The sequence below is a fragment of the Homo sapiens genome, chromosome 14, assembly GCF_000001405.40.
Source record: "Homo sapiens chromosome 14, GRCh38.p14 Primary Assembly".
Classification (NCBI taxonomy): domain Eukaryota; kingdom Metazoa; phylum Chordata; class Mammalia; order Primates; family Hominidae; genus Homo; species Homo sapiens.
Window position 1 is genome coordinate 99,465,384 of NC_000014.9, and position 27,808 is coordinate 99,493,191.

The window sequence follows — 27,808 nt, forward strand, 5'->3', positions numbered from 1 at the left end:
GGCACACTGTGAAAAAGCAGTAGAGCTTCTTCTCGCCCACAGGTCCTCAGGGAAGACCATGTTCCAGGTGACTGTGCCATGGAAGCTCACAATTACTTCACCCAAGCCTTGTTAACAGCCACACAGTTCTGACGGGTGTTTCCATCCTCACAGGTGAGGACTGCAAGCCTGGGAACCTCTGTGACTCGCCCAGGCCCACAGCTAATAAGCTTGGACCTGAATACCAGCTTGTCTGATGCACGCGTCCCCATTCTGGTGACAAAGAAGAAAAAGGCACAGCCACCACATCAAGGCAGGGAGAGCCCAGAGGAGGACTTACTCTGCAGCAGCTCACTGGTCAGGTTCAAGATTTCCTTTGGTGACACAGTTGCTGTAGCACCAGTGCCAGATTTCTGAGTTTTTACTCGACTCTTCTTACCCATTTTTCTGACTACAGAGAAGAGAAAGAAAAGAGAAAAAAATTACATTACCAAAGAACAAAATCAAGTAATAAAACATGTCCAACACATGGCAGTGTCTTAGTCTTCAGAGGCTAAGATCTTACCTTACATGAAGTTTTCTTCCAGAAAAAGAAATGTGTAGTATTAGTATCTAGAGGTTCTCAAATGGGAAAAAAAAAAATCTGCTTTGTAGTCTCTGGAAGAAAAGTTCGTTCTTTTTCACCTACAAAAACTATAGTAGAGCAAATTTTACTCTAGATTTTTTTTTAATTACATAGATTTCACTGTGCAGACTAACATATTCCAGGATACTAGAGAGATAAAACCCATGCATACATCATACACATATGGGCATAAAGACCTATATATTCTCTCCCCACTTTGCCTTAAAATAATCATTTCCCATTAACCATAACTGTATCATAAGCAACTGATCACACTCTCTGGACAAATGCTGAAGACGTTTTAGAGCTGGAAAAAACTCTGGCGAGCTAGTCTAACTCCTGCATTTTGCTCCATGGGAAATCCCAAGCACCTTGCCTGGGATTTCACAGGAAGCTGATGGCAGACCCGGGACTTGAACGAGGTCTCCCGTCGCGTTCCAGTGTGCCACACACGGGTCCTCTGCGGGCATGTGAGAAATGATGAGCATATTTTCACACGCAGATGAGACCATGTGGTATAGGACACGCCATGGTGTCCTGGGTAAAGACCCTATGAGATAATGCTTGCTTGCAAGTGCTTTTAACAATAGGTCTCAAAGAAAGTAAGGGACATGGATGTGTGAAGAATGGCGGGGGGGGGGGGGGGCATTCAAAGACAGGGACAGGACTAGAAGCGTGAGGGAAGCACAGTGAGGAAGGGAACCCGGCTGGAGAGGGGGTCTCTAGGGAAGCCTAGCGAGGCAGCCACTCAAGACAGGGTGATAGTCACTGCCAGAGGAGTCTGGCTTTGATTCTCCAGAGACAAGGGGCTAAGATCATGACCAAGGAAGATGGAAAAAGTGTCCAGCCAAGAAGCTGGTAGGGCGATCCATAAGCTAATGAATAACAAACCACCACGAGGATGGCCTCCAGGAGCCCCAGTCAGTTACACTTTATCTCAAGTGAGAATCAAAAAGCAGACTTTGGTCCATTTGTTTTTTACAAAAAGTGGTAACTATCACCATGTGAAGAACTATGCTAGGACAAAGGTTTAAAACATATTCTCCCACTATACAGATGATCATTGACTCTGCTGTAACTGAGTCCATGCAAATATGGCCATGTGCTAAAACAGTAGGACATCACATTATTTAACAGGCTAACGTGTGTATCTTCTCTTATGTATCTAACGTATAAAGAATAATGTGTAACACATTAATATAATAAGTCTTCTAAAAATCAGTGTAAAATACACAGTGTCAGTCATCCTGGAATAAAAGGAAACTGGTAAAAATACATAAAACTTTTGCAGCAATACAAGGAATTTTTTTTCTGTGATCAAAAGCAGAAAATTTAAGTGAGGGGAGGGCAGGATGACAGACAGCTTAAGCACCTTTTCCTATGCTTAAGAAATGTCTTCTTAGAAGAGAAAAAAATCTCCCCATGGTTCTGGCTCACAGCCAAGAGCAAGGGCACAGCCTGGACACAGCACCTCCACCCTTCTGGGCATTTCAGGCTTCCCATATCTGCGGAGGGCATCTCTGGAGGACCATCGAACTTGACCTGAAAATAACTAAAACCACCAAGGAGTCTGGTAATAAGGACGTTAATCACACTTCCAAATATAGTGGGTCTGCTGGCTTGGCAGGAGGAGACGCAGAAGCATCCTGTCAGCAATGGCTTAGCTGGCCTCTCCCTTCAGCCTTGCCTGAAAGACCTTCTGCTGTGGGAGCCTGTAAACGAGGCAAGAACGTCACTTTGATGAGGAGCTCCAAGACCCTTTCCCTTCTCTTAACAGTAAGTGAGCCTGGGACAGGGCTGTTCTGCACCGGCCCTCACAGGGTGCCCACCAACAGCTACAAAACAGGCTCTATTCGCTCTGCCTGCAGCCCCTCACCTCCTCCAAAGTCTTCTCTCAGCTATCCACCCAACTCCAGTTGCTCATTGATGTAACAGCAGCTGTTCCCTGGAGCTCAGTATTTACCCTCTGCCAGGTGCTGGACTAAGACAGAGCTCTTCATTTGATCTTCCTCGCACTTTAAGCAGTAGATACCATCCTCATCTTTCAGATGACATTGTCAGAAAGGTTAAGTCCCTTCTCTTTGTCCAAGGTCATGCATCAGGTAAGAGGTACAGCTAGAATCTGAACCCAGAACCACTACCACACTGCCTCTGTTTAAATACAGATTTAAAAAAAAAAAAAAAAAAGTACATGGCAGCAGGTCTTCCAGATCAAATACCATGGGATATGGCCCCACACCCCGCCACAACCCTGCCAGCAGCCACTCAGCCCACACCTAGGCAGCTCCAGCCACTTCCTCCTGCACCTCCTGAACGAGTCCTCATGGTTAGACCCTAACACTAGTCTCGTACATCTCCCTGCCCAAGCCTGTCCCTGCTGCTTAAATCTACCCTCACGCTGCCACCACCCTAAATAGTAGGAAATCACATTATTTAACAGGCTAACATTGCTATCTTCTCTTATGTATCTAATGTATAAAGAATAATGTGTAACATGTTAATCTAATAAGTCTCCTAAAAATCAGTGTAAAATATACAGGGTCAGTCACCCTGGAATAAAAGGAAACCAGCAAAAATATGTAAAACACCCTCCCAGCAACACCAAGGGCTCCCAGTCCCTCTACAGACGTCATCATGTACCTCCTATCTCTGCCTCCCCGTTCACCCCTTGACTGTAATATTTTAGTCACTTATTCACTAACTCTTGGTTCTCTCTAAAAATGCTGTCCAGGAATCCCCTTAAAGTCTACCTGGTCCCCCTAGTCACAATCTTCTCTTCTCTGCACCTCTGCAATTCCTTGTATGTTCTCCCATTATTGCTGGGCCCCACTGTACTAAAAGACGTGCTCACATACCAGCATCCCTTCAGGTAACAGGCTCCTTGAGGACATACAGCCTAGGCCTCAACACATGGCAGGTGCTACACAGAGGATGCCACCCTGAGCTCCCAGGGAAGAGCATCTGCACAGGTCTTAGGTCAGGTTACAATCCTCATTTCTGAAGCTTCTACCCAGGTTTCCATCCCCTTGGAACAGACAGGAAATGTCTAATTCCTGCTCCGCGTGACAGACCATTAAAAATATGGTTACAATGATTTGAAAACAAAATACATTCCGTTGACAGTAATTCTACAGTCGAGTACTTGTAACTCCAATTGTTCTCAAGATTTCTTTTTTAAGCCAGAAAACTGCTGGCTCTTAGAATGAGTAACAAACAGGTGTATAATTACAGCAGAGGTGTAACTTCAAAACACACCAGTACATTAGCCCCTGGGAAGGCAGATATGCTAGAACGCAATCTTCAAAAGTCCTGTTGGGTGATGTTTATGCAGTCACTGAAGCCACTCCTAGCTAAGACCCTCATCTCCAGCTCTTTCAATCCCTTCGTGATTCATTTCCCTGCCTACAAGTCCTCCCCGACCACAATGTCAACAGTCAGCCTTAATAAATTGAGGTATAAAATACAAACTGCATAGGCTGGGCGTAGTGGCTCATGCCTATAATCCTAGCACTTTGGGAGGCCAAGGCAGGTGGATTGCTTGATCCCAGGAGTTTGAGACCAGCCTGGAAAACATGGCAAAACCTTGTCTCTACAAAACAATATAAAAATTAGCTGGGCACCGTGGCGCAAGCCTGTAGTCCCCAGATACTCAGGAGGCTCAGGTGGGAGGATCCCTTCAGCCCAGAAGGCAGAGGCTGCAATGAGCTGTGATGGCGTCACTGCACTCCAGCCTGGGTGACAGAGGGAGACCCTGACTAAAAAAAAGAGAAACCTACAAACCGCATAGTGCACGAATTCATGGACTCATCCCCATGCATGCAAGGCCCCAGCCTTGCAGAAGGCAGCAAACACACCAGTCCTTGCCAGCAGTCCTGACGAACCCTTTCACAACCAGTCCTTCCCCCAGTAGCCCACATTTCAACTTCTATTACCGATTAGTTCTGCCTATTCTTAAACTTCATATAAGTGGAATTCTACACTGTGTAGGTTTCTTTCGCTCACACGTCTTTCCACAGCTCACGGGATAATGCGTAACCTCCCTAGCAAGGTCTTCGAGGACTGAACTGCCTCACTCTATTTTACATGTCCAGCTTCATCCTACCTTTACACAACACAGCTCCAGGGGACTGCTCATGTTCCTCCCTTTTTCTGGAATGCAGCTATCCCACTGCCTGTCCCCTTGTCTTCTCCTGGCAAGATTTTTCACATACTTTGAGGCTCTACCGAAATGTGCCCTGTGGCATTAAGGGAAACTCTAGACTCTTCCATGCAACCCTCACGCCCAACAAAGTCAGTAAGAAAGGGTCAAACTCAAGGTTATTACAGATGCTAAAGAGTTGGCTTATATTGGGATTCTGTCTTTTGGCAACCTCTTTGGGCTGTTTCTCTCCCACGGGGATACAGGCTATAAGGTAGAAAAAGTGGCTAGCCTAGGTTAGGCAGAAAGAATCTTGTCTTAATTAAGGATGGGGGCAGGGGGGCTGCCTATCCTTCTTCCAGTAAATGTATCTCCCTAGGGCACAGGATCCTAGACCCAAGCCATCTCCTCAATCTGTTCCCCCCAAAAACAAGTTTCCAGGGCTCTTCCAGTAAGCCTCCCCACTGGCTGGGTCTACCCTGTCCGAGGGCTCTCCTCAGTCCCCTGTACCCTGAATCCCAGGCAGTCGGGCGTGAACTTAAGTCACTGAAGGCAAGTGTTTCTCGGTACCAGTTCTGTAACCCATCTACTATGAACTTGGAACCATCACTGTCTGTAAGATTCCTTTGTCTCTGGGTTCAGTATGGTTTGGCACTAATTCTAGTATTTCTGGGACACCCCTAACTCAAAGCACCTTGAAGGCAGACGCCCTATATGTACTCCGTTCAGCCCTAAAACATCAGGTTTTCATGTGGGTTTGCCAGCTCCCCACATCCCACCTTCCCTCAGCCCCCTGGCCTGGCTGTCATTCCCTGACATACACACTCTTCGCTCTGTTACTTCAGCCGAAATGCCCTGACCCCTTGGTGAGTATATCAGGGTCCTCCACCTAAAATTTACCTGGCTAAAACCCCACCTCACTAACAAGGTCTCCTCACCACACTTCCACAGCACAGTCCCTGAACCTCTGTGACCTCACCCACTGCAGTCTAAACTCTTTTACCCACTGTCTTGTGGCAGAAAAAAAACCAAAGCTTCCATCTCTATATTACCCATAGGATCTAATATAGTGTCACAGACACATAGAAGGTCAAAATTTGTTGAGTAAAAGAAAATCTTTGGATAGTATATTTGAATATATTGGTGTTACCAATTTTCACATTGCTCCCAACAGTGATTAAACAGTAGTCAAAATGAAACATTTACTGAATATTTAATTCTACTAATGAACTATGATAATTCTTAGAAGTAAAAACACAAATTTATATAGAGAGATGTAGATAATTAGAGATAGATTGGCCATACCATGAAGGACAGGGGTTAGGGTTACGCTTATGTAATATCACACTTAAAAAACGGTTCTGTGGGGCATAGTGGCACATGCCTATCATCCCAGGTGCTCAGGAGGCTGAGGTGGGAGGCTCTCTTGAGCCCAGGAGTTCGAGGCTGCAGCGAGCTATGATCACACCTGTGAATAGCCATTGGGCTGGAGCCTGGGTAACATAGCAAAATCCTGTCTCAAAAAAAACTTTTTTAAAGATGATCTCTTTTCAAAATCCAGTTTTAGATAGAAAAGCTTTAGGACATTACATTTAATAAGAGAGACTCTGAAAAACACACTGGAATTTTTAAAGCATTATTGGTCTTTAGAAAGCAATAAAGCAGGAATTAGTCTGTTTCTGATAGAAAAGGAAAGCTTACGGCCCAAGCACAGGGAAAAGCTCCATGGGCACTTGTGACCAAGGACACGAGCATCCGCCCATGACCTCCCTGCATCCCCACCATAGCCCACTGAGGCCGGCAGTGACCACAGCCAGTTGTCAGGAGGCTTAGAGAGGGCTGTGACTTGGCCAAGAGACCACAGCTGCCAAGCAGCAGACCCATAGCTTCAAACCTGAAATCCTGCATTAGCTCCAGCATATAGGTGGACTCTAAGTATACGCAAGCTTGATTAAACTAAGCTGCACAACGTCTCTCTGCCTATACTATGTTCGCTGTTGCAGAAGACAACAAAATTGGACAAAACCAGGCCTGCAGTTCCCAAGGATGAGGCTGGGAAACCAAGACTCACACTCAAAGCAGCATGGATAATTCCTAAAACACATAAGTAACTAAACATAGAAGGGCAAGAAATAAAGTACAATTCAAGAAGGATGACTAAATTTTAAGATTCAGTGTGAGGTGTTAGTATCCAGTATGTGTGGTTTCCTAAATTCACCCAATATTGCCTTCTTTTAGCAATCAAAAAAGATTCATGCCATGTAAGTTCCCCAACCTTATGGATTTAAATAACTACCCTTTTCATTTATGATTCAAAAGTCTGTTATATACCGTGAATAATTTTCATGATCATTTCAGCTGAATTTGGGGCTAAATTACAAGTTTAAACAAATGAGACACTCAAATAGGTATTCTGAACATACTTCATGCTCTTCATGAAAAAAATATATTAAACATTCATCAATTTCCCACAAAGACCAAATGTTTATTTTCAATAATTATTTCCAATATTTATATTAGGAAAATATAAATGCATACTGAATTAATTATATGTGCATACACATACGAACTCAAGTTAAATTACAGATATTAGCCAGAAGGTACAATGCTAACTCAAAAATTTTTTTCCACAAAGTTTAGACTGAAATCAGGTATAATTTACAAATACTTACTGAATTATCTTAAAGAAAACAGGAAAATAGGACCAAAAAAATGATTTAAATAATACTTAAGACAAAAGAAAATACGAAGAGTAGCAATACAAGATTGATACATGAATTATACAATTATAGTTAGTCATTCAGAGGAAGGGGTATCTATAAAAAGGAACAGCTAAGCCAAGAGTTTCACACATATCTACATTTCTTCACCATCAAGATATTTTTAAAATCTACAGAATCTTCAAACTTTGGCCCTTTAAAACACCACATACCACTTACAAGTCCACCAACAACCTCCCCATCTAACAGACAAGACACACTTTAGAAGACAGAGAAATGAATGACAAACTCAATTATTATTTAAAGTGCTGACTAATATACAGGGGCATCTGTAATCAACCACCACCTCTGCCAATCAAGCGATTCTTTTCCATCGAATCTGAATCGTGGAATAAATGGGTCAGGAGAAACAAGAAAGCACATTTAGTGACCTTGGCTAATGTGGGCAGTGGGAGCGGAGGTGGGGTAAGGGGTGCTAAATACCTAACCCATTTTTACAAAGTATAGTTCACACATAATGAACTGATTTGGATGTAATTCACTTGCATTTTTTTTCAAACACTCTAAATGGAAAGGATATTTATTTGTGTATTTCTTGAGTTCCCTCGAAAATGCTGCTTTCAACTAAACAGAACTAGAATAAACATTTTTGATTACACTTATCTGGCAATTTATCCAGGAAACCTTAGCTCAAGCACAGCATCTGTTTTTCAATGTATCCTGCATTGACCCAACTTCACAGCTGGGTTGACTAAGGGAGGGAATGGTCCTAAGGATGGCTTCCTCCACCTCAGGCTCTCAGCTGTAAAGCACACTCGAGAGAGTGTGAGGGCCTAATCTTCATGTAGGAAGAATAGGAAATACTCTTTTCTCACTCTTACTAAAATACTTTGCCGGCCATCAGGATCAGATTACTACATTCAGAATTAAATACACAAATTACAGGATGACGAGTTAGGAAAATGAAGGCACTCCCAAACTGAAAAGGATTTAATTGTACAATGTTTCCTTTCCTACAGATACCGATAAAGTGCCATGGTACCGTGTTAGCTGAAACTTATACATATCAGAAACGTGTTCTGGCTTTGCACAGTAGCAGGGCCTAGTAGCAGCGCCATGCCATACCAACTCATACCAGTTTACACGGCTAACCGGCACCTATCATTCCAATCTTCTAATTAAAAGAGGAACTGGGCCAGGGGCAGTGGCTCACACCTGCAATCCCAGCACTTTGGGAGGCCAAGGCGGGTGGATCATTTGAGGTCAGGAGTTCAAGACCAACTTGGTCAACATGATGAGACCCCCGCCAGCTCTACTAAAAACACAAAAATTAGCCTGGTATGGTGGCACAGGCCTGTAATCCCAGCTACTTAGGAGGCTGATGTAGGAGAAATGTTTAAACCCAGGAGGTGGAGATTGCAGTGAGCTGAGATCCAGCCACTGTACTCCAGCCTGGGCGACAGAGTGAGACTCTGTTTCAAAAATAAATAAATAAATTAAATAAATAAAAGAACTGATGTGCCACAATTCAAAAGTACCAAGAAGTCAAGGCAAGCAGGCAGGGAAGAAGGTGGAATTAATTTCAACTCAGTAACTACTTAAGTACCAAGATGTATAAAGATCTATAAATTGCATGCAAATAAAATTTTAATTTGATCAAAATTTAATCTTGATACAGAACAATTTGGGCTGTCCCATGTAAGTATTATAACTTGAGATTTTAAAAATACAGTTGTTGGCCAGGCACAGTGGCTCATGCCTGTAATCCCAGCATTTTGGGAGGCCGAGGCGGACGGATCGCCTGAGGTCAGGAGTTCAAGACCAGCCTGGCCAACACAGTGAAACCCTGTCTCTACTAAAAATAGTCCCAGTTACTTGGGAAGCTGAGGTACAAGAATCACTTGAATCCAGGAGGCAAAGGTTGCAATGAGCCAAGATCGTGCCACTGCACTCCAGCCTGGGCCACAGAGCAAGACTGTGTCTCAAAAATAAATAAATAAATAAATAAGCACAGTTGTTGCTTTTCGCAATTTTTTTTTTTTGCTATTTTTCCACTAACACAATAATTTTAGAAATAACTAAACATTTCTGACTGACTTTTCATTACATAGTAGGTTTTAGTTTTAAACTGCCATTGAATGAAGTTGCAAATAAATTAACATGAGGTTCCTATTTAATGGAAGTTACCAAAAAAACCTTTTGTAAAGCAAAAAATCATTGGGTATCATGAATAATCATTTCCTATTATATCTTTCTAAAATAAAAAAGACAATGTTATGTGTGAAGAAACAGCTGTAATCCGTCAAGAAATTACCTTCAAACCACCCACATTCCTTAACATGAGGATTCTGGATTCTAAAACCAAGGAGCAACAGGATTAGAGGAGACCTCTGGGGTTATGTATAGTAGCTCTCAATCCCACGCGTGTTTAAGATCATGGTGCCGGATGTTATGGAGCAGTCACGATCAGTACTTCACCTGATCCAAGTCTGAGAAGGATATAAGACAGGCAGGACAGAGAGAGCGTGTTATTCCTGATTAACAAACACAGCCTAAGGCAGATTGCCAGTAAGAGAAAAAGGCAGCTCCAAAGCTTCGCCTTTAGGCGGCCAGCAGAGCTGCACGTTCACTTCCAAGGCAATCTCCTGCTTTGTGAGCCCCTCCAGTACGATATTGCAGAGAAGTTCACCATCCTCTCTGACCTGTCAGCTTTTGTGTCTCCCCAAAGTTTTGTCTTCTCCAGGCTTAATGTGCCCCTCATTACTACATATTTCTCAAAAGTGAGCAAAACCACTTAAGCATATTATACTTCAATGAACTGTTTTTTTTTTAAGTCAACAAAACCCTTCAGATGTGCTCTGAGATGGACTACCCACCTTCCTGGAACTCAAAGAAATTTGACTAATATTCCTAAGACTGCCCTAGCTTTTCTATGAGCCCAGTGAATTCATTCCCTCATTCCTGCACATTTCCTGAGAATCTAATCTCAAACACAAAGATGATGCAACATGGTCCCATAGCCTTTAGGACAAGACAGTAATCAACTAAAGCCTTTCGTGATCTTCAGCAAGATAAATGTGCTATATTCAACAACTGAGTTTTTGAACCTAAATGCAACTATTCATGCTGTCATGTTATTTCAGGATCATCCTTGCCATGTCCTGTGTCCTATGGAAGTTCTCCAATATGATCGTCCCCATCACAATCATGTCATTTGGGCATTTATTATATGATCAGGAATTGAGGTAAGCATTTTACACAATATAAGATAGGTATTAACAAGTCCCCTTCACAGATGAGAAAGCTGACGCTTACGGAGACTGATTAATTTATGCAAAATGATAGACTCAGTTTGTGTCAGAGCCTCACCAGCACACCTCAATGACAAATCTTACTGATAATAATATTTCATGAGTTCGGCTCAAAACCAACCCATTTATGAGAGCTCCAAAGGTTCACTGTTATCGCTAATATTCAAAATACTATTCCCTTGCACTGATAAAACATACGCATGTAAAGGTTTTATTTTTTGGCCTTTTAAAAGTATAGTTATTTTGCTGGCTTTGTCCAAATACATAGGAGGAGCTGCAGGTTAAATTTGGGACATGGGCAAAACTTCCAAAAGAGCTTCCATCCAGTCCACCATATCTGCAATGCCACATTTTTGTTGCAGGGAAAAACGCAGAACCATGAGGTGACCATGACATGCAGCGAAGCTAAATTTTTACAAACAACAAATCAAAAATGTTATTAGACACTAGTAAATATTTTATGGTAAAAGCAGCTTTTATAAGTATTTGTCAACACTAATCTTTACTTCCTCTCAAATATGTGTAATAGAAAACTGCTGATATTGAAAAGGCATGTCTATTTTCTGAGACTGAACATTGTAAACCATTTAGTCGGAAGACTTTCTTAGACCTGTTATGTCCTGATGAATTGTATTCTTAAAAAATGGAACGTGAAACTCAGGATCATAGACAGTAATAAACCTAAGTGTATATTTTATTAAGAGTTCTATGTATCATATATTTTTGTCAATTAAAAACTAAAAATAAAAAGTTCCGTGTAGACACTTGATTATCTACATTCTCTAGACAATTTTTTTTGTCCTTCTAAAAAACAGTGGAAACATTTCTTCCTGCTCTGTCCCTCTGCCCTCCCCTACTTCCCCATCCCAGTACTGAGGTTAGGCTTGCAAAAGGCTAATGATTCACTTTGGCTTAGTAATCAGTAGATCCCTTTCAAAATCTTAACTTCAAAGATAGATGTGTCTTTCATTGTCAACCAAGACTGTTTGGACTCACTAGTTCACTTCTACTTGGAAAGTACTTGATAGAAGAAAAAAAAAATTGCAAAGTCTTAACTTTGGTATTTGAATTTTATAATCATTTGGAATCAGTTTTCTTCCATTCAAATTTATCTCAGTCGAAACTGTTCAATATCTGTGTTTTTATCTCGTTTTTACAGTCTGTTTATATCCAAAACTTAGAGGAGACTCCCAAGTGGAAACGGGGTCAACACAGCTAATCTCTGGCTTGAGTTAAAAAGCAAGACTTCTTAATCTTGCAGATGCTAATTTTTTTTTCAAAAGACTATTAAGTAACTTTTTAAAAAGCCAAGTCTCAGCCCAGTGCGGTGGCTCACGCCTGTAATCCCAGCACTTTGGGAGGCTGAGGTGGGCGGATCATCTCAGGTCGGGAGTTCCAGACCAGCCTGACCAACATGGAGAAACCCTTTCTCTATTAAAAATACAAAATTAGCCAGGCGTGGTGGCGCATGCCTGTAATCCCAGCTGCTCAGAGGCTGAGGCAAGAGAATGAACCCAGGAAGCAGAGGTTGCGGTGAGCCGAGATCACGACATTGCACTCCAGCCTCGGCAACAAGAGCGAAACTCCATCTCAAAAAAAAAAAAAAAGCCAAGTCTCAACTTCTTTGTAATAGGAAAATATATTAATATATATTAATATTTTGATAGAAATTTTTTACCTTGAGAGTAAATATTATGTAAATTAATTCTATTTGCATATCAAATTAGTTAACCTCTCCAATTTATGAATAGAAAAATGAGATGATAAAAGGAAATCCAATGACAGAAAACCATTGTAAAGGCAACAGAAGTGAAAACTATAGAAAACTGAAAAAGCAAGACTCTTTATTCTAATACTCTCGACTGGTTAAATATGACCCAAAACAAACTGTTAGCCAGATAAACACTTCTATGACTATAGCAGGAGAGAAAAGATGCACGGCTAATCAAAAGATTTTTCACTGATAAAAAAAGGGCCCAAAAATAAGGGTAGGTAATTGAGAAAGCAAATATTATAACTGGCCACAAGCAACATCCAAAGTAACATAAGAATAAAGATAAGTTCACCGTTCTGTTAAAAACATTTAATGCCATAGCAATAAATGACTCCGAGTTCTCTTTGAGGGAACAAAGTCACCACTCCATTCCCAGGACTTCGGTCCAAGGGAAAGAAACACACTTGAAACTCTTCCTCTCCACCCTCAACAGAAGCACAAGGCACAGCAGCCAGGGAACAGGCAAACCAGTCTCTAAAGATAAATAACCTCTCAGAGAAGGATATTCATCCAACTACACAAAAGAAAGATACAGTATTACTAGTTACAGTTCTAAACCCTACTTCGGATTTGTGATAAGAAAAAAGACTCTATGTAATTAAAACATTGAAGAAAACTGGTACGCCTCAAACTACACTGACATCTAGTCACAAAGCATTCAGAGTAACCCTGACTTGGAGGTAGGATTTTTGCTCATATTTTTACTACAACTCTACACAGCACAAACTATGCACCTGGTTTTCATTGAATTCAATGATTGTCTACTAAATATTCACTCCAAGCAAGCCTCCGTCGCTGATGGTCATACCTTCCCCGGCGCCGTCATCCTGTCATTCTCCTCCAGGCAGGAGAGTACTGTGTTCCAAGGAGGCTGTTGTGACCGTTTATCAGAACTCTCAAAACCAAAACAGTTGTCCAGTGGTTAAGCTTTAAATAGGAAAAATATCACCTCCATATTTTTCTCATTATCCAGTGGCTTCTAAAGCAAAAGCTTAATTATCATTTAAAATGTGGCCTAAATGTCCACGGCACGGAAGAGCAGCGCAGCAGCCATCACTTTCTTACTGACAGTCACTGTGCTCTTACGAGAAGCTTTCGCTATAACCGTACATACAGACATAAGATGTTCTAATCTTCAAATCCAACACCACTCCAATTCCAGGAAAAAAAAGCACTGAGATGTTAGCACACTGGAGAAGCAACCATTTTACTCCTTCAGACTACAGTTCCATTTCAGATATTAACTTACAATCACTTGGAGGGCAGACAGGAAAGGGGTAGCAGAAGGCTAAAATCCAAGGTTGTCTGGGGTCCCAATAAAGAGGTTCTGTAGCTGTTTGAGAACTTGGCTTTGCAAACTACTTTCTTAGGCCGAAGAAAAACTCCTCGGTAAACTGTTGGAATTTCACCAAAGTATCAATCACGGCAGCCCTTGGGACTAATCCAGTACTGCTGGACTTTCACGCATGGTAGCCCGTATAAACACAGTACATACAGCAAGGTTCAAGCAAGTCTTGGCAAATTTTAACAGTGGAGAGGAAGACTGCTTTATTTTGCTATATTCTTGGGTTAAATGTATTCGCTTAAAATAATAAACACTTCTCCGAGATTATTACTGGTTAGTTCAGTTTTGAAATACTGGCAAGGTCATTTCAAGAAGAAAAACGGGAGAGGGAGAGGTATATTTTACATAAGATAAAATTCACACTTTTCAGTGTCCGGTTCTGAGTTCTGACAAACGCATTTATAGTGGCCTCATCAGCACCACAATCAGGCTACGAAGATGGGGTAACTCTTCGAGGATTCTTAAAAGCAAAATTGATTTGTCAGCATACTTTAAAAGTATTTTTGCTTTTGAAACATCACCTTATTTATTTAGAAAAGCAAAATAACACGGTCCGAGTGGTCCTAACCCGCGAATGCCTTTGCAACACTGAAATGCCCTCCTCCCAACACCGGCCGGGCAGGGGTGAGCCCCGCAGCCAGGGGCGCGCGTCACTGTCAGCTCCTTTTCCCAAGTGGAGACCGGGAAAAGACAAGAGTTGCATCGCCGGGCTGGAGCCACGAGGAGGAAGAGTTAACGCCGGAATGACAAACTCTAAAGCACCGAATTGCCTCTCCCTAGTAGGGCACTGCGCGTGTGGAGCACGGCCAGGGGCGCGTGGGAAGAAAGACGACCTATTTCCTACGTCCGTCTTCCTAACTGGACGGCGCGGGAGGAGGCGGGGGCTGGTCCCCGGGCACCCTGGTGGGCACCGAGAACTCGCAGAGAGGAACATAAAACCGCACAGCCTTCCCCGAGCAGCGGGGTGACGGGAGGAAGGAAGGAAATGGGAGCGCGACCCGGCCGCGCGCAGAGCCGAGCCGACTAGCGCGAGGGGCCCGGGCCCCACCCGAGAGCAGGCGCGAGGGCCGGGGACAGCGGGGCAAGCTCGGGGAGAGCGCTGCCTGCACCTGGCACCACCTCGAGACCGGGTGGCGCGGGGCCCGGGAGCGTGGGCGCCAGAGGGGACAGGGCAGCGGCGAGCGCGCGCCTCTCGCCCCGCAGGGCGCCCGGGCAGAGGCCGACCGGCGCCCTCCGACCCCGCCGGGCCCTCCTCGCCCTGGCCCCCGAGCGCACACCTGCCCCTTCAAGCCCCGGGGCCACAGCGGCCGGCGGGGACCCTGGCGGGGGCGCGGGCCGGACTTCGGCCGAGGGGCGCTGGCCAGGGCGAGGGACGGCCTCGCAGAGCTCGGAGACGCGGCGCGAGTTTCCCCCGCGGGCCGCGCGGGCGCAGAGACCGCCGCCAGCACTCACCTGCCCGCTTCCCCTAGCGCAGCGGGAACGACGTACTCCGGCCCGGACCCCGCCGTCCGCCTCAACCAACCCCCAGGCGGTGGCGGCGGTGGCGGCGGCGGCGGCCGGACGGGAGGGGCGGGACGGCAGCCTGAGACGGCCCCGCGACCGCGGCCCAACGCTTCTCCTCCCGCCCCGGACCCCGCCCCCGGGCCGCAGCCGCCGCCGTTCATTGGCCCACGCTTCGGACGCATGGGCGCGGCCCCGCCCCGCCACCCAGCCGGCGTTCCGTTCGGGGTCCTCCCCAGCCAGTGGGCTGGCAGCTCCCGGGGGCAAGAGCGGCCGGCTCAGCCGCCGCCAACCACGATGTCGCAACTGGCTGCGTTCGCCCCCGCCAGAGCTTTGATTGGACGAATCTCGACCCGGGCCCCGCCTACGCGCCCAAGTTCCGTTAGCAGGTTCGGTTGCTCCAGAATGCCTTTTCGCCCCGAGGGGCGGGACCGACGGGATGGGCCCTGTGGCTGGCTCCTCCCTCTGTAAGCAGCAGCCACTGACCCGCGGGGCGGGCGGGGAGGAGAGCGGCGGCTCGTTCCTCTTTTGAGAGCTCTGCTTTCTTCCCATTGGTTGACAGGCATCCTACTCTCTCCGCCCCTCCGGTCGCTTGGTGGCGTCTCAGGACGCAGCGTGATGACGTAGGTCCCCGACATTCCATATACAAGATGGCCGCAGTCGGCAAGGAGAGACGTCGCTGAGGGGCTTGCCTGAAGCGAGGGGTGAGTGACCCACCGACTGAGGGCAGCGCCGCCCACCTCCCGCGTATCTGGAGGTCGGAGTAGGTTATGGCCAACCGCCGCTATCCACTGGCGGAGTCTCTCTTTCCGGATTCTGCCTCCCTCCGCTAACCTCCGGTACACATTGAACTTTGCGGGCGACGCGGGGTTGTGGGGCGGGCGTGTAGAGAGGGTCTGAGGCGCCGGGGCGGGGCAGGGAGGCCGGACTCACCCTAGAACTGGTAGCGGCCCTCGCACTGGGGGGCAGTCAGAGTTGGGGAACTTTCTAGGGGTTGGGCAAAAGGGGCAGCGGTGTTAACCGCGCACAGTCTCACAGCCACAGACTTCTCATATCTCCCCGATTATTTCGCGGCGTATTAGTCCCAACCTTGGCTAGGCCTGAAACTTTTTGGAGGTTGTTCCATGTCTAGGGTACTCCGACTTTGGAGTTTTGGAGAGCCACGTAACGAGGGTGCGGCTAAGATGAGGAAAAGGCACTTCCGGGATTAGATTTCGTTCTTGCCCAGACATCGTCTTTACGGACCCGCTCCTGGTGGTTGATTTGGTTTGTTATGAGAGAAATTGTTCTTTAGAAAATTGGAGCGTAAGTCTAGAGGTTATGTGACAGCTCCTAAACGATTGTCTGCCCAAGATAGGCTCGGTAATGCTCCCTAAATTTAGACTGCCAGTTAAACGGAGCTTTCGCTAAGTCATCTGAGGTTAGGAACTATTTCTAAGAGCATTTCTTAAGGGTGGTCTTCTGTGTTTTTAAGAGAAACTTGGTGATGTTTGTGTATCTCGATCTAAATCGCTGTTTACAGATACCTAGCACAATGCCTTGCAGTTGTAGGTGCCCGCTAAAGGTTTGTATGAATGATGTTGCTAGAATGAAAGCGAGGAGCTTTCAGCGCCTAGAACACTGCCTGACGTTTAATAAGCCCTCTGTATTGCTGAATGAAAGAATGGATGGATGATGGTAGTGGTAGTAGTATTGATAGACATTTGGATTAAAGTGCCCTTAGGATGCTTACCTGTTAAATAATCTTGACTATGAATATAATAATTATCCAAGATTGTCTTATTCAGAGTGACCACCGCTGGTGTCTTTTAGGGTTTTTTTCCCTCTTTTATCTCATTTCGATTATATTGTGATGCATTATTCAAGCATATTAGTTGATTTCTGGGCAAATCCTGTTTAAATTTGTTCCATTTTGAAAATGTAGTTTGCACTAACAAGCAATAAAAACTATTCGAGTTGTTAATGAGGTTCTTAAATTTTAAATGCTGTTTCTAAAATTGAATGTCATAAAGAAAAATTGGTCATAGCTGTGGCCTATAAAATGGGCTAGTTCATTTCAGGACATTATATTTGAAAGCAGTGACTCTGCTGAGTGTCTGAAAGGGAGGACAGTGTTTTCTGCTTGTTTTCTTTAAAATTGGATAAGGACAAAAAAATCTAGAGGAATTAAATTCAAGGTAATTGAGGAGATTACAGAGTGATCATATTTTTAAGCTCAGGTAAATTGTATACCAGAGTATTTGCAGATGACTTTATAAAATCGTTATTCTTAGATTTTGAAAAATCCTAAAAGTACAGTTAATGATAGAAGACTAGAATCTGGTAAATGTCTGTTTTCACATAGAACCATTCGATGGCTCTTGGCTACTAGGAACCTATTAATAATCTGTTTTAGAATCTTGTTGGAAGAGCCAACAAGTTTATGAGTACTTGGGAAAGGAGAGCTGATTCCCTGAAGCCAGCAGAGCTTCAGTGAGAAAAGGCCAGGTGAGGCCAGAGGTGGTGGCTCACGCTTATAATACCAGTACTGTGGGAGGCCAAAGCTGGAGGATCACACAAGCTCAGGAGTTCAAGACCATCCTGGGCAACATAGTGAGACCTCACCACTACAAAAAAAAAATCAAAAAATTAGCCAGATGTGGAGGTGCATGCCTGTAGTAGCTACTTGGGAGACTGAGGCAGGAGGATCACTTGAGTCTGAGAGATCAAGGCTGCAGTGAGCCGTGATCGGGTGACTGCGCTCCAGCCTGGGCGACAAAGCAAGACCCTGTCTCAAGAAAAAGCCAGGTGACACAAATCATATTTCCTTTTGTTACAGTTTACTAGACTGGTGGTGATTGGGGATTGTTGGACATAAGTTCATTTAAGTTTATTTAGGACATAGTCTTCCAACAAGATTCTAATACTGTGTGTAGACACAAGAGTTAAATGTGCATTGGATAAGGTGTGGTTAGATGGATTTATATCCATGCAAATTACCAAACCCGAAATGTTGATTAATGAGTTGATGTAAGCCTGGGGAGATGTCTTTGGAGATATGCTACAGGACTCTGGTCTTGCCCTTACTCGGATTAACACTTTCTTAATACCAACTTTAAATAGATAAGCAGCGTGATTCTCAAGTTAATAAATGCACTCAAACCATGTAGTGATAATGAGCAAATTAGATGACACTCAGAAATCAAAGATTTCTTAAAGGCTGAAATATAATAATAGGCCAGAACTGGCCAGATATAAATTTACTAGGTGAGATTGTCTCAAAAAAAATAAAAAATAAATAAATTTACTTGGTGTGATTACATTTACAAAACCTGAGTTTTCCTGGCTTGACAAAAGTGGTTCTAGGATGTAACATTCCACTTAAACAGAAGAAAAGCAGTGTCTAGATTGAGGGAAGGCAGTATCTTGGTATAAAGTAAGACTAGTTGTGATGCTGCTTGCTAGCTGTGAATTAGTCAGGTTGTTTCGTGTCTCTGGCTCCATTTTCTCAGTGATAAATTGTGAGGATAAGAAAACTAGCTTGCAGACATGCTGCAACGCAGCAGACACACAATGGACATGTTACTGCATGTTAGTTACCACCCCCCTCCCATGTGCTATGCACATCATATCTGTTTTGATTCCTAATATTTAGGGAGGACTTGAAACACTAAAAAAAAAGAAAAATCATGATGAGAAAAATGGTTAGATTTGTTTACCCTAGAGAAGAGAATGTAAAAATTGCTTTTACCTGTTTGAAAGACAATCAATAGATAAGGGAAATGTATTTTCAAGGCTTAGTTTAAGGACCCTGGTAGAAGTTAAAGAGTCGCTAAAAGGTAGATTTCATTCATGCATTATTTTATGCCATCTGTGTAGCAGATCTAGGGGATGAACAGGACAGATAAAAATCAATATAGGAATACAGGAATTATGTGAACACCAGTTATTGATACCCAGCAATGCCATAGGCTGTTTTGTAAACTAATGAGGTTTCATTGATAAGTGGCCAAATATTACTAAGAGGGGATTTCGATATTGGGTGAGATAATTGAGTGGTGACATTTACTATTGTTTCCATAATTCTAAATGTTGAAAATATATTTAGTCTTTTATGATGTAAAATGATATTTATGAAGCACATTCCTGAAAGGTGCTGCTAAAATGCCTTGACAGGTTGCTTGTTTATGGATTTTCATTTTGCAGAGTTCATAAATCTCAGTCATTTTCAGAGGAATCACAAGCTACTAATGAGAAAACTTACAACTTTAGGGTCTTGTGAAAAAATAATTGAAGAGTAATAGGGAACAGGTTTATAGACCTGAGGCAAAAACTTTTTCAGGGAGTTCTACGATTTTGAGGACTGTCTCTATTCTGTTTATGTCCATAATATTTTCACTACATTTCATGAATTGTTTATATTCTGCCTTGGAACCTAAAGGGACCAGGAGTTTGGCCAGTTACAGAAGGTAAAACAATTGAATATACTTACGATTTATCCGCTTGTGGACCGAGGTTCTTTTCCATTCCAGTTTCATCCCTACTGGGGTATTCCTAACACTGTTCCCCGTTCTGCCCCTTTCCCCTCAACAGATATCTTGGCATTATACTTCCTAGAGAATATGGAGGTACTCTTGAGATTTTTTAGTTACTTCCTCCCCCTTAAAAGATTATTTAAAAATATCTTTCTCAAACTTTTCCTTCCATTCTCAGGGGAAGAAAGAGCTTTCTTTCTAAGGTTAACTTTCTTGCTGTGCTTTTTATTATCCCTTGACCAGTTAGCCTCCCTTGTTCTGACTCCTCTAGTGATTCCTTTTTGTTTTTACTGGCTGCAGACATTTTTCATTCTCCTTTATGCTGAAAAATATATAAAAACCAAAACAATAACAAAACCTACTCCCTACTATTCCCTGTTACTCTCTTTGAGAACAGATGCCTCAAAAGAATAACCTATTTCCAGCCAGGCACGGTGGCTTATGCCTGTAATCCCAGCTACTCAGGAGGCTGAGGCAGGAGAATCACTTGAACCCTGGAGGCGGGAGGTTGCAGTGAGCACCACTGCATTCCAGCCTGGATGACAGAGGGAGACTCTGTCTCAAAAAATTAAAAAATGAATAAAAAAGAATAACCTATTTCCTAGTCTGTTCATTCTTTACCACCCCTTGCAGTTTCTACACCTTCTGCCCTATTGCACTTCTAAAAATGTTATTTTATTTATATGTGTATATATGTATTTTCTTGAAATATAATCCTATACCGTACAAATTACCCATTTAAACTGTACAAATCAGTCGTTTTTAGTATTTGCAGAGTCATGAAACCATCACAATTTTCAGTGTCTCTAATAAACAACTAATCACCAATTAAAGTAAACTTTCCTTAGTTCCTTGTCCTTTAACTTTTCTTTAGCATTTGTCACTGTTGACTACCATCTCTGGTTTAAAGCTGACATCCCATGGTTTGTTTTGCAACAAAGGATGCAAATTTCCCTACTTCTTGGACCAGTCTTTTTCCCTTTCTCTAATTTGGTGATTCTTAGTCTGCAAGTGGGTAAATCATAAGTGCATTCAAGTCTGTTTTACCTTCCTGTCACTGGGCAAACGCTCGCCTTTGGTGATTCTTCCTACTTGGTACAAGTTCACAGAGTTCTGTACCCAGACCCCTTCCTTCTTCACTCTCCATCCCTCCATCCGTCAACATGACTTTATAGTTATCACCTCTGTGTAGATGAACCCCAAGTAGATATGTTCTGTAGAGACTTCAACTGGCCTATTTATCTGTCTGATAGATATTTCCACAAAAGGATCTTAAAGTTCTTCAAGCTTAGTATTTATAGAGCCAAATTCTTTTCCTCCCTCCTTATCAAAACCAGCTTTTTCTCTTGTCTTATCCATTTGTCTTTTTAGTATCACCCTCTGTGTCAGTCAAACTTGAAATCATCTTTTTCCATTCTTTGCCTCATGGCCAATTATGACACACACACCCCTTGTTCCAGCTGCCATTGTGTGGAGACAGGTGTATTAGGCATTACTTGAACTGCTACTATAATCTCCTAACTCTTCCTCTTTCTGCATACCTCTAAACAGCCCTTACCTCATTATGTTCTCTCCCCTTACATGCGTTATTATTTGTGGCACTTAAGATTCCCTGACAAATATTCATATATTTCTTTCTTATTGTCTCTCCCACTAGAATGTAAGCTTCCTGGGGCAAAGACCTTACTTATCTTGTGCCCTGCCATGCCATTAAGGCCTGGCTCATAGTAAATGCTCAGGAAATATTTAAATGAAAAAGTACATGGAAAACTGTTAGGCGTATGTATATTAAAGTAGCAATTCCCAACTGTGAATAAATTGCTAAGATGTGCTAAGATATTGATTCCCTCAGCCAACTGTCCAGTTGCCTTCTGTTCTATAAGAATATATGTACATGTTTAACACTTATTAATAATCAAACACCAGAAACATTTACATGCCCAAACAGTAGAATGTATAGATAAAGTGTGTTGCATTCATAGGATATAACTGTACTGTACAGCAGACTTTCTCAGCTTTGGCACTATTGACATGTTGGACCAGATAATTTCTTGTCATGGGGGATTGTTCTGTGCACTGAGGACATTCAGCAACATTCCTGGCCTCTACCCACACTAGATGCCAGTGGCAACCCCCCAGTTAGGAAAACCAGAAGTGTCTTCAGACATTGCCAAATGTCCCCTGGGGGGCAAAATTGTCCCAGGTTTAAAAACCACTGCTCTGCGGCAGTGAGAATGAACAAATACTGCTTTATGCAACAACAGGAATGAATCCCATGAACTTAATATTGAGCAGAAGAAACCAAATGTAAAAGTGGTACTGTGTCATCGCACAGTCCTTCAAAAACAGGCAAAACAAATTGATGGAAATAGAGGTCAGAATAGTTATCTTTGGGAGGATAGTCACTAGGAAAGAACGAAGAGAGCTTCTGGAATGTTGGTACTGTTCTCTTTCTCAACTGAATAGTGTTAACACAGGTGTGTTTACTTTGTGAAAAACAATCAGCCATACACTTATAATTAGTTCACTTTTCTTTTTGTATGCTATAATTCAAATCACAGTGTTGTAATTTATGAAAGCAGTACCCACACATAAGCAAGTATTCCTTGGCTATCGAGGGATTGATGAAGATAAGGAGTCCTCCTGGTCTCCTATTCAGTCTCATCTGACTTTTTCCCCAACTTTTTATTGTATGAAAGAATAGTGCAATGACAACTTATTTACCTGTGGACACATGTTCGTTTTTTGCCATGTTTACTGTGTGGTTGTGTTTTAGCTGAACCATTTGAAAGTAGGTTGCAGACATCATGACACTTTACCCAAAATACTTCAGCCTTCATCTGCTAAGAATAAAGTCATTCTCCTGTGTAATCACAATATCATTATTACCCCCAAAGAAAATTAACTGACAGTAATTCCCTCCCTAATACCCTCTAATATACAATTTATACTTAAATTTTTCCAAATTGTTTGAAATTTCTTTTTTTTAAAAAAAAAAAAAAAGCAGGATCTAATCAAGGTTCACACATTGCATTTTGTTGTAGCCCTCTTTAGCCTTTTTAAATCTAAGACAGTCTCTCAAAATGTTTTTTCATAACACTGTTTTGAAGAGACCGGGTCAGTTGTTGAGTAGAGTGTCTCACCTTCTGGATGTGACTGATAGTTTCCATGTTGTGCTTTTTTCACTTACTCTTGTACCACCAGTATTTATTGTAAACTGGAAGTTCGGTCAAAAGTTTGCTTAAATTTAGGTTAAGCTTTTGGGGGACAAGAATACTACATAGGTAGGTGATATTTATTTCACATTGCATCACATCAGAAGCCATGTAATGTCAGGTTTTCACCCTATTAGTGATGTCAAGTGTGATCATTTTGTTAAGGATCAACTGTATTTTTTTTACAGTAGTTAATATCCATGCTAGCAAAGTCGCATTTATTATCAGTAGCATTTTATTATCAGTAGTTATCAGTGCTAGCAAAGTATTATTCTCTATATGTATTAATATTATGGACACTTGGATTGTATGTTCACTATTTTATGATCAACCACAGTTATTTTTCTTTTTGCTATTCAAATTACCTTGGATTAGTCCAGTGGGCACCCATCATGGTGGCTCCTATGTCTTTTTTTTTTTTTTCCCTAGCAAATCATTCCTTCAGCAGTCCTATGTCTTTTGATAAGCTTTGATTAGTCTGAGTACATCCCAGGCAGGCTCCAACCCCAGACTGGAAAGAAACCTGCTTCCTTTTAGAGGGTATTGGTATTGAAAAAGTTAAGATTTCAGAATTAGGAGTGTCATTCCTTCTTGGTACTTGAAAAGGACAGAAATGGGATACATATATATATATTTTTTTTTAACCATGATTTATTTTGATATCTTCAGTTAAAGTTTAACATTACAGATTTGTTTCTTAACATTTGGTTTTCTGCATGTGTGCATTTGTTTTCTTTGCACTGAAAATCTTGGTTCCTAACAACATTAGCATTTACATATTTGCTTTATTCCACAACATGCAAAAAAAAATGTGTTTGAAAATTACAACATTAATGACACTACTAACAGTACACTAATGAAGTTTTAAAATTTCGTTGGGGCCAGCCACTGTGGCTCATACCCATAATCCTAGCACTTTGGGAGGCTAGGCGGGAGGATCGCTTGAGGCCAGGAGTTCGATGCTGCAGTGAACTAGGATCATGCCACTGCACTTATAGCCTGGGTGACAGAACAAGACTCTGACTCTAAAATAAGTAAGTAAGTAAATAAATAAACAAATAAATAATTCTTTTCAGTTATTTTTGTCCTTAGAATATATCTCACTAAGCATGTAACAATATCAGAAATTACTTGGAAGTAAGTTTCTGTGTGATTTTGTTGCCCATTTGGTTTGAGTTTTAGGATTTGCTTTTTTATTTTTAGTTAAGTGTATGAGTATGTTAAATATTTACATGATTCAAACATCAAAGTTATAAAAGTACTCTGCAGGGAGTCAAGCTGAAAGAGCACCTAATGGCCACATTGGAATAATTTGAGCAACAAAATAAATAATGATAGTATTGGATTATAACCCAAAGAATAAAATACTCATGTCTGTACTAAAGTAAATAAACAAATGGGAGAGAAGAAACAAATATTAACAAAATGATTCCAAATAATAAATGTTGAAGCAGTGAAGGAAATAGAAAGTCACCATTAGAACACCACAGTTGTAATCGTCTCAGGTGAATGCTAAAATTAGTAGATGAAACTTGAAGGAGAAATAGACATTTGTATAGTATTTTGCATTGTAAAATATTTCCCCCAAAATATTTACTTACTAGTGGGTGGTTTTAACATATGTCCACAATTTCTTTGATATCTCTGCCTCCAGAAAGTAGAGCTTAATTCCTTTACCCTTGAGTGTGGGCTGGACCTCGTGACTTGCATCTAAGGAATAGAAGATAGGAAGGGAAAAATAATAATTTACAGTGAGAAACCTGGTAGACTCCATCTTAACCAAGAGCTCATGGTTAACAGCAGTAAGTTGTTCTGATATCACCTGCACCCAAATATGATGTGTAGTTAATAGTGGTTATACCAAAGTTAATTTCTTTTTTTGGATAAATGAACCATGGTTATGGAAGATGTTTACATTGGGGAAGCTAAGTGAAGGGTATAGACAAAACTCATCTATCTTTACAGCTCTTCTGTAAACGTACAATTAGTTTAAAATAAAAGCTTTCATAAAAAGGCAAAGCTGTATAAAAAGATATATACATAGAGAAGTCTTGTTTCCATTCCTGTCTTTTCCATCCTGTTTTTCCCCATTCCTTATTGGTAAATATTTTTTGAATTACTTTAAAAAAATAGAGATGTCTGGCTGGGCGCGGTGGCTCACACCTGTAATTCCAGCACTTTGGGAGGCCGAGGCAGGCGGATCACGAGGTCAGGAGCTCCAGACCATCCCGGCTAACACGGCGAAACCCCATCTCTACTAAAAATACAAAAAAATTAGCCAGGCGTGGTGGCGGGCGCCTGTAGTCCCAGCTACTCGGGAGGCTGAGGCAGGAGAATGGCGTAAACCCAGGAGGTGGAGCTTGCAGTGAGCCGAGATCATGCCACTGGCACTCCAGCCTGGGCAACAGAGCAAGACTCCGTCTCAAAAAAAAAAAAAAAAAGAGATGTCTGTTTTTTCCCCTCCTTTCTTACATAGATGCTAACATACTGTGTACACTATCCTATACCTTGCTGATCTGGAAATTTCTCCATCCAGTACTTAACGATGTTTCTCATTCTTTTTAATAGCTGTGGGGTATGCTATTGTGTGCATGTGTCATATTTTACTCAGCCAGTCCCCTGATGATGGGCGTTTGGGTTGTTCATAGTTTTGCCATTATAAATAACACTACAGTGAATAATCTTGTGCACATGTTGTTTCATAGTTGTGACATTTCATAGTTAGGACAATATTTTCAGAGTCGATTCCCAGCAGTGGGAATCCTGGGTCAAAGAGCAAATGCATGTGTAATTTTGTTGGATATCGTCAACTTCTCTGTGACAGTTGGACCATTTTGTACTCCCACCAGAAGCTTATAAGATCACCTGCTTCTCTATAGCTTTGCCAACAGAGCAAATTGTCAAACTTTGGGATTTTTGCCAATCCAGTAGGTGAGAATTGTATCTCAGTGTGATGTCTGATTATGAACAGGTCATATTTTCTGAGGTTTTAATTAACTGGTCTCCCCCGCCCTTTGAACAGTGCCCAATTTAATCAGTCACACACAAAAATGTAAATTATTAGTTCAAGCTTTTCTCCAGGTACTTAATTCTTCCTCTTGGAGGGAAGATCAGATTTCCTTCAGAGCTACCAGGTGCAAGGAGGAGAATATTCAGCCCCACCATGTCACCTTCCCCACCAGAAATGAGGCAGATACACAGAAAAGGTTAGGTTTCCAGATGAACTGGTGGGAGCCCTGGCCCAGAACCTGGCCACAGAGCTGCTGTTTTCTTGCTAACCAGACTAACCTGGCTCCAGCCAGCTCTTTCAGAACCCTTTTGATACCTTATTTGAAAGTATCTGCTGTCTCTGATCCAGGTTACAAATGACTTATTTCTAACAGTGGTCTCTAGATGAGATCCTTCGTTGTTGTTGTTTTTTTCTTTCTTTCTTTCTCTCAGCATGGAGCTTTTGGAGAGTGTCTTTATTCTGAGTGAAAGAAAAGGAAGAGGATGAAAAAGCAAGAACAGTTTAAAGGAGCTCCTTCTCTCATGGACCACTTCCATCCACCCACTCCCCAAATCACAAGATGCACATTTGGTTTACATCAGTGAATTCAGTGATTTGTGCAGATGTGAATTAACCCAATCCCATGACTTGTCTAAGTGAAAGTGCCTACATGGAATAAACTGAAAAGGGGTGCTGGATGGAAGAGATGGTTAGTTTTAGAACATAAATCTTTGTCAAGATTAAGACAGGCCCAGGTTTTGCTGAAGAATGGAATCTGGACCAGCGTTAGAGGACCTGTATGTCTAGTGAAGAAAAACCAGAAGAAAGTGAGATATACTTCGTTTCTTCCAAAACTTTGTCAAATAAGGTTAACCCTTTAATCTCAAGAGAGAGGGAGGAAATAGTCTTATTTTTAAACTACCATGAAATTTGAGATTTATTAATATTAGTACTGGGGTCATCTTACAGTATTGTGTTAAATTGGCTCTGGAGTTAGCCCGGGCTTGTAACTGGCAATTGACAGTGTGGTTTCTATAGGAAATAGTGATCCCAAACCAGGTACAATCTATGATTCTAGATTGCTTATAGTATGGAGTATTCCTTTCCAACTTTGTTTTTCTCTTTCTCATAGGATTCTAACATTTTCAGAGAACCTTTTGGAAAGAACAAGCCTACTTCAATAAATGAAGGAGAATAAAGAAAATTCAAGCCCTTCAGTAACTTCAGCAAACCTGGACCACACAAAGCCATGTTGGTACTGGGATAAGAAAGACTTGGCTCATACACCCTCACAACTTGAAGGACTTGATCCAGCCACCGAGGCCCGGTACCGCCGAGAGGGCGCTCGGTTCATCTTTGATGTGGGCACACGTTTGGGGCTGTATCCTGACTCTCCTTGGAATCTGTTACAGATAGGCTCCCCACTCACCACCAAGAAATAATTAGATTCTGTAGACAAAATATATAGTAATTTCTCTGTACCAGAGCAGTTCTTAAATATCTGTTTGAATGTTGTTTCTGGTGGGGGTTTTTCTCTTTCTGATTTGTCATTTTAAAGGTGTAGACTTAGCCACTGAGGAGGTGGCCAGCCAGGAGGATATGAGGCACCCATTAGGATCACAGTTGAGGCTGGGCACAGTGGCTCATGCCTGTAATCCCAGCACTTTGGGAGGCCTAGACAGGAGCATCCCTTGAAAT

General features: G+C 42.3%; 2 protein-coding genes across 12 annotated transcripts in view, besides 5 other annotated features; one reads left to right on the plus strand and one right to left on the minus strand.

Moving 5' to 3' along the window:
* Window positions 1–21,075, minus strand: part of SETD3 (SET domain containing 3, actin N3(tau)-histidine methyltransferase) — an 88,711-nt gene extending 67,636 nt beyond the window's left edge. For 3 of the 9 annotated variants that reach the window (XM_011537233.3, XM_011537231.3, XM_011537235.1), the window contains exons 1-2: window positions 15,879–15,992; window positions 320–430 (exon numbers count right to left, since the gene is read on the minus strand). In XM_011537233.3, the coding sequence (XP_011535535.1) occupies window positions 320–422 (103 nt within the window). In that variant the 5' untranslated portion in view covers window positions 423–430; window positions 15,879–15,992. Of the gene's footprint in view, window positions 1–319; window positions 431–5,642; window positions 5,647–9,776; window positions 9,965–13,281; window positions 13,412–15,344; window positions 15,477–15,878; window positions 15,993–21,069 lie in introns of those variants that run through there. The other 6 variants (NM_032233.3, NM_199123.2, XM_017021699.2 and 3 more) reach the window with 5 other exon arrangements.
* Window positions 14,607–15,108: an enhancer, noted in NCBI's record as "H3K27ac hESC enhancer chr14:99946327-99946828 (GRCh37/hg19 assembly coordinates)". NCBI's record gives its function as "activates a minimal SCP1, AML or CMV promoter by ChIP-STARR-seq in naive H9 embryonic stem cells {active_cell/tissue: H9 hESC(naive)}" and the evidence as "EXISTENCE:reporter gene assay evidence [ECO:0000049][PMID:30033119]".
* Window positions 14,607–15,156: a biological region, named in NCBI's record as "H3K27ac hESC enhancer GRCh37_chr14:99946327-99946828".
* Window positions 14,957–15,156: a silencer, noted in NCBI's record as "silent region_6062". NCBI's record gives its function as "represses an Ori minimal core promoter by ATAC-STARR-seq in GM12878 lymphoblastoid cells {active_cell/tissue: GM12878}" and the evidence as "EXISTENCE:reporter gene assay evidence [ECO:0000049][PMID:35858748]".
* Window positions 15,267–15,726: a silencer, noted in NCBI's record as "silent region_6063". NCBI's record gives its function as "represses an Ori minimal core promoter by ATAC-STARR-seq in GM12878 lymphoblastoid cells {active_cell/tissue: GM12878}" and the evidence as "EXISTENCE:reporter gene assay evidence [ECO:0000049][PMID:35858748]".
* Window positions 15,917–16,286: an enhancer, noted in NCBI's record as "active region_9003". NCBI's record gives its function as "activates an Ori minimal core promoter by ATAC-STARR-seq in GM12878 lymphoblastoid cells {active_cell/tissue: GM12878}" and the evidence as "EXISTENCE:reporter gene assay evidence [ECO:0000049][PMID:35858748]".
* Window positions 16,026–27,808, plus strand: part of CCNK (cyclin K) — a 31,032-nt gene continuing 19,249 nt past the window's right edge. Inside the window, exons 1-3 of one of the 3 annotated variants that reach the window (XM_047431839.1) lie at window positions 16,026–16,231; window positions 26,563–26,937; window positions 27,243–27,491. In XM_047431839.1, coding sequence (XP_047287795.1) covers window positions 27,295–27,491 — 197 coding nt within the window. In that variant the 5' untranslated portion in view covers window positions 16,026–16,231; window positions 26,563–26,937; window positions 27,243–27,294. The remainder of the gene's footprint in view (window positions 16,232–26,562; window positions 26,938–27,242; window positions 27,492–27,808) is intronic. The other 2 variants (XM_005268154.5, NM_001099402.2) reach the window with 2 other exon arrangements.